Source organism: Homo sapiens, chromosome 1 (assembly GCF_000001405.40).
Source record: "Homo sapiens chromosome 1, GRCh38.p14 Primary Assembly".
NCBI lineage: Eukaryota > Metazoa > Chordata > Mammalia > Primates > Hominidae > Homo > Homo sapiens.
This window is the reverse complement of record NC_000001.11, coordinates 11526595-11537753: the sequence shown is the minus strand read 5'-3', so window position 1 is coordinate 11537753 and position 11159 is coordinate 11526595. Positions and strand designations below refer to the sequence as shown.

Sequence of the window (11159 nt, the reverse complement as noted above, 5' to 3'; positions counted from 1 at the left end):
TCTCTTGAACCCCACCTCCCCTAGGGTGCCCTGTGACCTGTTCCAGGAGGGTCGGTCACCCTCCAGCCCACTCACCTCTCCCTCTGGCACCAGCCCCAGCCTTTGCGCCACGTTCAGGCTGGGCAGCGCACAAGGTCACTTCAACTTGAGAAAAGCGGTAGAGACAGCAGTGCTTAAAATGCTCGTATTAACAGCAGCAGTCTGCAATCCTATGTCATTTTAATAGCAACCTTCTGCCGTGAGCAGGCGGCCGGCATGGCAGCTCCTCCCCACAGGGGCCATCCCCCAAAACATCCACTCAGAGTCAGGTGGGAAAGACAGGGGCTTAGATCCATGAGGAAAGCTGTGCTGAGCCCCAGAGCCCCCAGAGAGGGCCTTTGAGGGGCCCCTTGAGGCTGGGGTCAGGGGTAGGACATGCAGAAGCCCAAGCCGGGTCCTTCTGTCTTCTCTGGCCAAGACCAAAAGGCCCAGGGAGGGCCACAGGGCCATTCAGCACTGGCCGCCGTAAAGCTGAAGGGGAGGGTTGCGGGGGGGCGGGGTTAGGGGGTGAGAGGCCCCCACCCTGGATCCACTGTGCTCTTCCTGTATGATTCCCGAGGGCGGCATGGCGCTCGGAGGCAGCTCTGGCTCTGCTACTGATCCAGCGACAGGGCAGCCACTGTGTCCTGGCGCCTCAGTTTTCACATCGGTAGAATGGGGGCCACCCTGTAACATCCACACTGGAAGGTTGTGAGCACTGAGGCAGTGTGAGAGGGAGACCCCCTACAAAAATAACCTGACCCCCATGGTGACCGGGCATGGGAGGAGGGCTGGTCTCTTCTGCCACTGGGCAAAAAGCCGAGTGTGGCTGCCAGTAGCCCGGCCTGTGGGGTGGCGGCTGTCTCCAACTCCCAGCTCCACAAGGCAGCATGGTCCACACCATCTGTGTGGGTGTCAGCCTCCACGCTGGCCCGCAGGGCGCCCTGGGCCCAGGCCTGGGGACACAGCTAGCTGAAGTCGAGCTGGGAAGCAGCTCCTGTCCCCCACCCATGGGACCAAAGGTGCAAGTGTCCAGAGCCCGTCCCGGGCTATAGGGAGGCCCCTGCGGGCAGGGGAATCTTATAGCCGCTCTGCAGGAGCACGAGGCAGGCACCCAGCCCCAGGGCCCCTGCCAGCAGCACGGCACCCAGGGCCTTGAGGAAGGAAGTCCGGGTCCGAGTGAAAGAGCTGGGCGCCATGATGCCCAGCAGGGCGGTGCTGACGGTCAGCGTGTAGAGGATGGACACGCCCGTGTTGAGTGCCACAATCTTGCCGAACTTGGCAAATGGGGCGATGATGCAGAAGAAGAGGGGCACTGTGGCGATGACCGTGGTGAGGGCACTGGAGACGATGGCCACGCCCACGTGCCGCACGGCCTCCAGCGTACGCCACTGGCGCTGCGTTCGGGCGTCCTGGGGGCAAGAGGAGAGCTGGGAGCCCAGCCTGCCTGCGGGACCCCTCTGGCCAGCACCTGGGGAATCACGCACCCCCACCCCACGCCAGGTTCCTGCTCTGTTACTGGGATGAGAGCTGCAAGTGGCCTCCCAGGGTTGGGAGGGTAGGAACCAGGTAGGTGTTGCTATGGCAACAGGACGCGAGGGTCTGCACAGTAGGTCCTGTGTAACTGAGTTGATCTTTACACATTTGTGAATGTTTTCACACCAACGCAATTCCAAACTAAAGAAAAAAATCGTTACTAGGCCCAGAGCCGGTTTTGGCACTGAGTATGTGAACATGTCCTCACCAAGCCACCAGGGGCTGGAGCAGACTTGTGGCCTCTGGGTCGTGGCTGGAAGGAGAATGAGTCATGGACCTGGGGCAGTGTGAAGCAGGAGGGCCCCCTTGGAATCCTGCGTCTGTCCAACCCTCTCATTGTTCACTTGGGAAGACTGAGGCTGGGAGGTGTGGACCTTAGAACTTGAGTCCCTGGGGCTTGGGGATCAGCTTTGGGAAACCTTAGTTTCTAGAACACAGCCTGCATGGGGGTCCTGGTGCTGGGATGTTCAGCTGCCCTTGAGGGTCCCTCAGCTGCACCCAGGTGGGAGAAGACCCAATGTGGTGGGAAGTGGGTAAGGCGGGCAGGGTGCGCACCTCGGCCTGGTGGGGGGGCAGGTTCTCTCCAGCCAGCAGGTAGCCCTCGACCAGGTGGACGCAGTAATCCACGGAGGAGCCAACGAGGATGGACAGGGAGATGGCTTCCACAGCCCCCATCTCCCAGCCGCTCCAGTACATGATGGTCACCACCAGGCACACGATGCCTGCAAGGAGACAGCAGGGGGGGCAGCTCGGATCCCCCGCCCTGGAGGCCTCAGAGGAACAGGGAGGTCTGGAGTCCAGCCCCCACCCTCAGGTGACAGGAGAAACAAGGCACACCGAGGGGACCCCTGAGGGAGGGGACAGGTGCAGTAACACATCACTGAGCTGAGGGCTACTACCTGGGTACCCCGGCTCTGCTCAGGAGCACAGACATGCAGGAGAGACAGTCCTATGAGCCTCCGCTGAGATGTGACAGTGAAAGGTTCAGAGGCCTGGAGGCTACCTGGGGCCACCGGGGAGACTGTCTGTTCCCGTCCCTACCAGCAGGGTGCCTGCCAGCCCCTCGCCCACGTACCCAAGATGCTGAGGAGCACGGGCAGCAGGAGCAGGATGTGGGTGGTGAACACGGCCACCGCGGCCACGCAGATGAGCAGGGATAGCACCAGGCCGCACAGGGCGCTCTGCACCCCTGCAAGGGAGGACAGGGCCTCAGTGCGCTGCTGTGTGGGCGGTCGCAGCAAGCTGTGCTGCTGGGGTGAGCCCTTGACCTCTCTGAGACTCCGACTCCCAGTCTGTAAAATGGGGTCATAACAGGACCTACCCTACCGGCCTTGTTTGGAGTTGAAGAGAACACAGGTCAGGCCCTCAGCCCGGAGCCTAGGCACCTAGGAGGGGCTGGTAACTGGCAGCTGCCATCATGGTCATGACTGTTACTTTTTAGGTGGCCAAAGTCCAGATCAGAGAACGTGGCCAGATGCCCCCGACAGGAGAGGACCCAAACTCCAGCCTCTGATCAATGTCCCAGCCACCGTGCCACCCGGTTTCCTCAGGGCTCTTGGCCAGGATGGAGATTGTGACTCAGGCCGCTCTGTGCCCTCCCGGCCCCAGGTCCCTCTGCCTCCTGCCCACCCAGGATGGAGGGGCGAGGCTGCCGCTTGCCTACGATTTCCATGAATATCTGCTTCCAGTGCTCGCAGGTCTGGAAGCCCCGGCGCAGGACTGAGCCCTCGGGCAAGGCCTGCAGCTGCTGCTGGAGGAAGCTCTCCCAGCGCAGGTAGTCCGAGTAGGTCTGGAAGGAGGATTTGCCCTTGTACGTGGTCTGTGGGGAGAGATGTGAGCTAGTGAGACAGGCAGGGACTGTGGCCCACCCGCCCTTCCCAGGCATGGCTGGTCTGTTCTGCGGCCACCAATGGAGTGGTGCGTGTGTTGGGGAGGGTGTGAACAACGATTCAATCCAAAATGAGTCCCCACCAGCTTCTGGAGGCATCATGTGGTTGTGACAGCAGCACTGATCCACATGCAACCACAGTCCCTGCCCACCAGAACTCCCTTCAGCTCCTAGGGCTCCCCATGCTCTCCTGTCCACACAGAGTGCATGCTGTTCCCTCTGCCTGCTCAGCCAGTTCCTGCTCATCCTTCAGGGCTTTCTGGGGTTCCATCTCCTCCAGGAAGCCTTCCTTGATGCCCCAAGGTGGGCCTCCTTAGTGTCTCCAAACCCTCAGTGCTTCCCCTGCTCTTGTCACTGCCTGGCAACCTGCCTGGCCCTGGCAGGTGGGACTGTGAATTGCAAGGGCAGGAGCAGCCTGGCTGGCCCACAGTGCCCAGTCCCGAGAGGTGCTCATGGATGATGAATGAGAGAAATAGGCACTCACCCTGCTCTAAAAGATTCTTAAGGTATCTGCTCATCAATTCTGCTCTTGCTGAGCACAAGCCAGTTCATAGTAGGTCTGCGTGTGTGTGTGCATGCGTGTCTGAGTGCTGGTGGGGTCAGCTTGGAAGCGGGCACCTTGCCGTGTGGTGAGCCTGAGTGGGGACTTCTCTCCTCCCTGGAACTGCCTGGGGCTTCAGTCTGCAGAGGGAGGTGAGTTCTGACACTTGCTGCAACATGGTGAACCTTGCACTGAGTAAAATGAGCCAGTCACCGGCTGGGCGCAGTGGCTCACGCCTATAATCCCCGCACTTTGGGAGGCTGAGGCAGGCGGATCACCTGAGATCAGGAGTTCGAGACCAGCCTGGCCAACATGGTGAAACCCTGTCTCTACTGAAAATACAAAAAATTAGCCAGGTGTGGTGGCGCACACTTGTAATCCCAGCTACTTGGGAGGCTGAGGCAGGAGAATCACTTGAACCTGGGAGGCGGAGGTTGCAGGGAGCCAAGATTGCGCAACTGCACTCCAGCCTGGGTGACAGAGTGAAACTCCATTAAAAAAAAAAAAAAAAAAAAAAGAAACAGTCACCAAAGGACAAACACCATATGATTCCATTCACATGAGGCCCCCAGAGTTGTCAAATTCATGGAGAAAGTAGAATGGTGGGTGCCAGTGGCTGTGGGAGGGGGAGAGGGGGAGTTAGTGTTTACTAGGGACAGAGCTTCAGTTTGGAAAGACAAAGTTCTGCAAGTAGATGATGGTAATGGTTGCATAACAGTGTGAACATACTTAATGCCACAGAGTCGTATGCTTAAAAATGGTTCAGGCCAGATGCAGTGGCTCATGCCTGTAATCCCAGCACTTTGGGAGGCCGAGGTGGGTGGATCACCTGAGGTCAGGAGTTCGAGACCCGCCTGGCCAATATGGTGAAACCCCGTCTCTACCAAAAAATAAAAATTAAAAAAATTAGCTAGGTGTGATGGTGTGCACCTGTAGTCCCAGCTACTGGGGAGGCTGAGGTGGGAGAAGTGCTTGAACCCGGGAGGTGGAGGTTGCAGTGAGCCAAGATCGTGCCACTGCACTCCAGCCTGGGGGACAGAGACTCTGACTCAAAACAAACAAACAAACAAAAAAACCGGTTAAGATGGTCAATTTTACCTTATGTATATTTTACCACAGCAAAAAAAACATAACCTAAAAAGACCCATCTGGGGCTTTGAACTGGTGTCTGCATTTGCCTGGGGGCTCGCTGAGGGCTCTGAGGCCCTCCTGGTTCATGGCTGGTTTTGTTGGTTGTGCAATGAGTAACACAAATAAATAGTGGGAAGGAAGTCAGGGTGGGGGGCCAGAGGAGAATCACCTCCCCAGTTAAGCCGTCACATTGATTCTTAGTCCCCAGACTTTCCCATGTGTTCTTATCTCCACACCTGCCAGAGGGGCTCTTCTACAGATGAGGCCAGAGGGGACGAGTAACTTGCTCAGGGACACAGAGCACACCAGGATCCCAGCAACGATTGAGCCCAGGTCTCTGCACGGAGGCAGCAGGGACGGACTTGCCAAGCTTGGGAGAGCCATGTGCCAGGGCCGAGAGTCCCCACAGTGCCCAGGTCAGGAGTGTGTGCATGTGTGGGTATGTGCACACATGTGTGCCTATGCCTCCTTGGGCAGAGCCCAGCGAGCGTCCAGAGGTGACAGGCAGCAGGGAGGTACGGGGGATGGCCGGACTCCTGGCCACCCTAAGGGAGGCTGCCAGGGTCTGGGGCCCCAACCTGGCCTCCCACAGTGGCAGAGGGGGGCATCCTGGACTTCCACCGGCCCCTACAGACCAGAGACTAAAAAATACCGTGGACCCCCAGTTGGTGGAGAGGGAGGGAAGGGGAAAGGTGGGTGGAAGGGAACTGGCAGGCCGCCCATGGGGAAGAAAGGGCAGAGCTCTGCAGTTAGGCGGTCTGGTTTCACACTCGACACTGACACCCACTAACTATGTGACCTCAGGCAAGTCACTCCACCTCTCTGGGCCTCAGCATCTCCCCCCCGATCTGGGAAGAGGGCTGGGATCAGAGGTGGCACACCCCGGGCAAGTACGCAGCATGGCACCCAGTGAGGCTGCCTGGGCTCACCGACTCGAAAGCCATGGAGATCCACTGCACGCGGCCCTCCCTGACGCCCACTGCCCCGTGGGACAGCTGCCCCGGGAGCAGGTTGGGCTCGGGCAGCTCCTTGCACTCAGGGTGCAACATCTGCAGGAAGGAGGAGATGCTGTAGCCTGCGGGGAGAGGCAAGAAAGGGAGTGCGTGGTGGCCCTGGAAGAGCCTGTCCCCCTGCATCACACCTGTGCCCACGCACTCACATACCTCTGAGGCTTAGAGTGCTTGTAACCATTGGCAACGGCATTGGGAAACCTACAACATGCATTTGCCATCGGGGTGGAACATGACCTGTGGGCCCCTCCCAGGGACACCCCGGTGGTGACCTCATCCACATTGGCTGTGGGGCCAGCCCCTGGCCCCGCCCCCTAATTTTGGAAAAGCTACTCCCGCAGATGTGCCCCCATCCCACACACATGCACCTCTGCACCAGTCCTGTTCACACACAAGCCTGCTCACATCCAAAAACCCTCGACTGCCGGCACACACCCCACCCTGGTGTGGACATGCTCAGCACAGATACACATCTGCAAAAGACCCCCACATGCCAGACACTGTCCTTCGGGCTGTCTACCTTGGACCACGGCCTCTGTGCCTCCCCAGTCAGTCCATCCTCCCTCGGAGGAACCAGCTCCCCACACCCCACGCACCTGAAGGCAGGCACTGGGCCCCACCCGGCTTCACCAGCTCGGAGTTGGCTGCGATGGCCTTGCAGAGGTGACACAGGTGCCCAATTTCCTTGAAGAGGTCAAAGCTGCTGTCGTAGACAACACTACCCTTTCCCAAGGAGAAACAAGCCGGCCCGGGCCGCTCAGTGAGACGGGGACTCAGTCCTGGGTGCTCACCCCCAACCCTGGGGCAGAACCTCCAGCAGCTTCCTGCTACCTGTCACCCTCATGTTGGCAGCCTGCAACTGCTCACCCACTGCTCCACCCTAACCCTCTGCCCTGCCCCCGCCAGCAACATCTGCTCCCATCACTGCCCACCCCACACAGGACCCTCTGTTTCACCTCCTCCCCTTCCCTCACCACCTTCTCACCTGGACTTCTTGCTTTTCTCCCCACCCTCCCAGACAGCCACATCCTCACTGTCCTGCAGAACCTGCCTGGTCCCCCCACCCCTGCTCCGAGCGCCTGCAGACACCCAGTGTGGACTGAACACACAGATCTCCTCCGACTCCACCTTGCCCCCGACTTACTCCATGGCTGCCATTCCCGTGTACCCCGCTGGGCTGTGACTAATAAAGGCAAAGGACACCCACCTGTCCTTCCTCCTAGGAATCCTTAGCACCCACTACGTGCCCAGAACAGTCCCGGCTCAAGCAGTGCTTTCAAAAACTGAAGAGCCCCACATTGGACAGGAGTGCATGTGAGGGAGGGAGGCCTCAGAGAGAAAGCCACGGCCGAGCTCAGAGGAAGGGGGAGGGCAAGGAGGAGGGCACGGAGGTGTCCACCTGGATTGCCCTCTCTCCATTCCAGTCCCTCACAGGCATCCAGCTTGGGCCCTAAACCCAGATTCCTGGGTGAATCTAAGAGGTCAACGCCATTGAGTCCTCAAGAAAAACCGGACCCCCAGGGGCCCATAGGGGTTCTGTCTGGGTTAGAGGAGCCATTGAGGAGCCAAGAGGGGGTGTGAGGAGCTGGACATGGTTCCCTGGACAGGTGCTTATTTGCAAGACTGTTGCAGCTGGGGCCCTCGGCATCTGCCCGACGCATGCCCCGTACCGGGTCTCCAATGACGTGGTTGTCCACCTGCCGAGTGCGGTTGACGCCAATAATGCCGAAGACCACAAAGACCATGGCCCCGGTATCCACTAGTGGCCGCACCGCCGGCTTCCCGCAGCCCGTGTTCACGCAGGGGTTGAAGCCGAAGGTGGCTGAGAGACGGGCCTTGGGCACTGCGAACAGGGAGTCACAGCTGTAAGGGAAGGCAGGGTCCAGCTCCTGAGCCCCGAGGTCTCAGCTCTTGAGGTCCCCACCTGTGTGCCCTTGCCGTACCTTTCTCACTAGGCACGAAGAAGAAGCCTTTGGTAGGCCCATCGGGGCTGGAGCTAAGCAGGCAGCCAGGGGGTGCCATGCATACGCGCCCGTGGAAGGGGGGCTTGTGGGACTGGGCGAAGTACAGCTTCCTGTGGAGGGAATGGAGGCTGGGCTGAGGCCGGAAAGGCTAGGAGGAGTCAGGGGAGGTGAGGCCAGCAGGCCAGGGTTGGGACTGGGGCTGGGGTGTCATGGGGTCTGGACTCGGGCTCTGCCCCGGCATGGGGATTTGTTCTCAGGTTGAGGGCTGGGGGATGTGCCCTGGGCTGGGGGTCTGGAGGCTGTTCTAGCCCTGCCCCTGCCAAGGCTGACTATGGGAACCTAGTAAAGGCCCTGCCCCTCTGGGTCTCAGTCTCCCCATAGGAGTCATGAAGGGTGGAGAAGACCAGCAGCTTTCAAACTGTCCCCCGGGGGTACGAGGGTTCAGGAGGGACCCCCAGGGCCAACCCTAGTGGTCCTCGCTCAGAAGCCCCCAGCCTTGCCTCAACCCCAACAGTTAGGGAGTCTCTAGATTCTATAGGAAGGAAGGGCTCCAGTGTCAACAGCTGGCTAACCACTAGACCCAGTGCAGCTCAAAGTTCTTTCTAGAATGTTTCCAGCTCATCCAGGCAGCCTGCCTGACCCCTGGCCCACTGATGTGTCTGTGCAGAGTGAGCCCAGCCTGGGGCTCAGGGGAGGACAGGCAGAGGGGCCCCCACCCCCGAGTCAGGGTCCCAGGCTGGAAGGGACCCAGTGGGTGGCTGTCCTGCCATTCCCTGGCCTCCAAGCTGCAGCCCTCAGCCCCATGCAGAGTTCAGGCTCCTGTGGGTGTTTGACACTCCAAAGCTAGCCCCGTCAGAGACCAGTCTCCATGTGTCACTGAGCCCCATCGGAGACCACAGTCCCCGTGCATCACCAAGTTCTGTCAGAGACCACAGTGCCTGTGTGTCACCGAGCCCCGTCAGAGACCACAGTCCCCGCGTATCACCGAGTTCTGTCAGAGACCACAGTCCCTGTGTGTCACCGAGCATGGCCTTGTACCACTGTTCTCCACAATGACAGTGGGGCTATTTCTTTCAGAGCACGTATCATAGTTTGTAATGATATCGCTGTTTACTTGTTAGTGGCCTGTCTCCCACTAGACAGCTCGAGGGCAGGAGTCACATCTGTCTTTGTCACTACCATATCCCTAGCACAGTGCCAGCACAGTTGAAGCCCACAGTTTGTTAAATCAGTGAACGGCAGAGAGAGGAGACCTTTGGCTAATATGGCCTCCACAGATAAATGGATGCAGGGCTGTGTTTACAACATGGGGAATGAAACCCCAGAAAAGGTGCCCCTGGATGGCGTGGAGATCCCGAGAGCACAGAATGCAGCCTCTGACTCGGCATGTAGTAGGGACCCGACTTCACACTGGGTGCTAGCAGGGACTGGGCCTGTGGCAAGTGAATACAACAGGGGCCCTCCCCTCGCTCTCCTTCCAGCAGAAGGGGCAGGGGCATTAAATAAACATTTTCTGAATTAATGATATATTTAGAGTGTGGGTGAGTGCCTTGTCAAGGAAGTGTGGAGTGTACTCATTCATTCATTCAGCAAGTACTTATTTGTACCTACTACGCCAGACACCCGTGACAGGTGCTGGGGAGGCGGCACCAAATGAGACGGCCAAGGTGCTACCACAGGATGCCTGTGTGCTCCTGTGGGAAGACAGGTAACACTGCAGGTCAGCATGGTGGCAGGTGGCAATGGGGCCAGGAGAGCAGTGGGTGACGTATGGAGAGAGGCTGGATGTGGCACTTGGAGAGGGACAGCCTCTCCCAAGAGGTGACTTTTGGACAGGGACTTGAATCTTGAGAAGTTGTCTCACACTTGAGGAGCTGGGAAAAGCATTCTAGGCACAGAGAGCAGTAAATGCAAAGGGCCTGAGATGGAAAGGGGCCTGGTATGCCAGAGGGACAGCCAGGTGGCCACTGCAACCCCTGAGGAGCTATCAAGGTGGGGAGCAGCTCCCGGGCCCGTCTCTTTGCCAATGTTCTCCACTCCCCAGCCCTGGGCAGAGACCCATCTGAGCAGGTAGGTGGAAATGGACAGCAGTTTCTTTTTCTCTTTTTTTTTTTTTTTGAGATGGAGTCTCGCTCTGTTGCCCAGGCTGGAGTGCAGAGGCGCGATCTCGGCTCACTGCAACCTCTGCCTCTGGGTTCAAGTGATTCTCCTGCCTCAGCCTCCTGAGTAGCTGGGATTACAGGTGCGTGCCACCATGCCTGGCTAATTTTTTGTATTTTTAGTAGAGAAGGAGTTTCACTGTGTTAGCCAGGATGGTCTCGATCGGCTGACCTCGTGATCCGCCCACCTCGGCCTCCCGAGGTGGGATTACAGGCATGAGCCACCGCACCTGGCCAGCAGTTTCTTAAAGGAGTCTGCTGGCATCCCTCAGGGCTGGGTGCAGTGGCTCACGCCTGTAATCCCAGCACTTTGGGAGGCCAAGGCAGGTGAATCACCTGAGCTCAGGAGTTTAAGACCAGCCTGGCCAACATGGCAAAACCCCATCTCTACTAAAAATACAAAAATTAAGCAGGTACCAGTGGTGGTGCATGTCTGTAATCCCAGCTACTCAGGAGGATGAGGCAGAAGAATCACTTGAACCTGGGAGGCAGAGGTTACAGTGAGCCAAGATTGTGCCACTGCACTCCAGCCTGGGCAACAGAGTAAGAAAAAAAAAAAAAAGTGAGGGGGCCTGCTGGCATCCCTCATGTGAAAAGAGAGAGAAAAGAGAGAAAAGGGCAAAGAAGCAGCCGGGCTGATGGGCACCGGCTTGTCTGCCAGGCTCTGTTACCGGGTGTGCTGCTGCTCCTTGGTGGCCACGTAGAAGCTGAAGTCAAACTTCCAGCCCCGCTTGGCATCACAGGCCAAGGTCGTCAGCATCCACTTGCGGGAGGGGCTCGCCGCCTGGAGCAGCCCTACTGTAGACATACAAGCGGTCAGCTTCTTGGTGAAGTTACCAAAAGGCGCTCTATACACCTAAGCAGTGGGTTGACAGAGACAAGACACATGACTCGGGGGGGCTGCCTCGGCCT

General features: G+C 58.6%; 1 protein-coding gene across 8 annotated transcripts in view; it reads right to left on the bottom strand.

The window, feature by feature from the left end:
- Positions 1 to 202: 202 nt before the first annotated feature.
- The window catches only part of DISP3 (dispatched RND transporter family member 3), a 58397-nt gene continuing 47440 nt past the window's right edge, over positions 203 to 11159 (bottom strand). For 3 of the 8 annotated variants that reach the window (NM_020780.2, XM_011541828.4, XM_011541829.2), the window contains 9 exons: positions 10919 to 11103; positions 8068 to 8198; positions 7795 to 7967; positions 6721 to 6847; positions 6044 to 6189; positions 3214 to 3373; positions 2630 to 2743; positions 2110 to 2276; positions 203 to 1430 (listed from right to left, as the gene is read on the bottom strand). In NM_020780.2, coding sequence (NP_065831.1) covers positions 1068 to 1430; positions 2110 to 2276; positions 2630 to 2743; positions 3214 to 3373; positions 6044 to 6189; positions 6721 to 6847; positions 7795 to 7967; positions 8068 to 8198; positions 10919 to 11103 — 1566 coding nt within the window. In that variant the 3' untranslated portion in view covers positions 203 to 1067. Of the gene's footprint in view, positions 1431 to 2109; positions 2277 to 2629; positions 2744 to 3213; positions 3374 to 6043; positions 6190 to 6720; positions 6848 to 7794; positions 7988 to 8067; positions 9783 to 10918; positions 11104 to 11159 lie in introns of those variants that run through there. The other 5 variants (XM_047426135.1, XM_011541830.3, XM_011541831.3 and 2 more) reach the window with 5 other exon arrangements.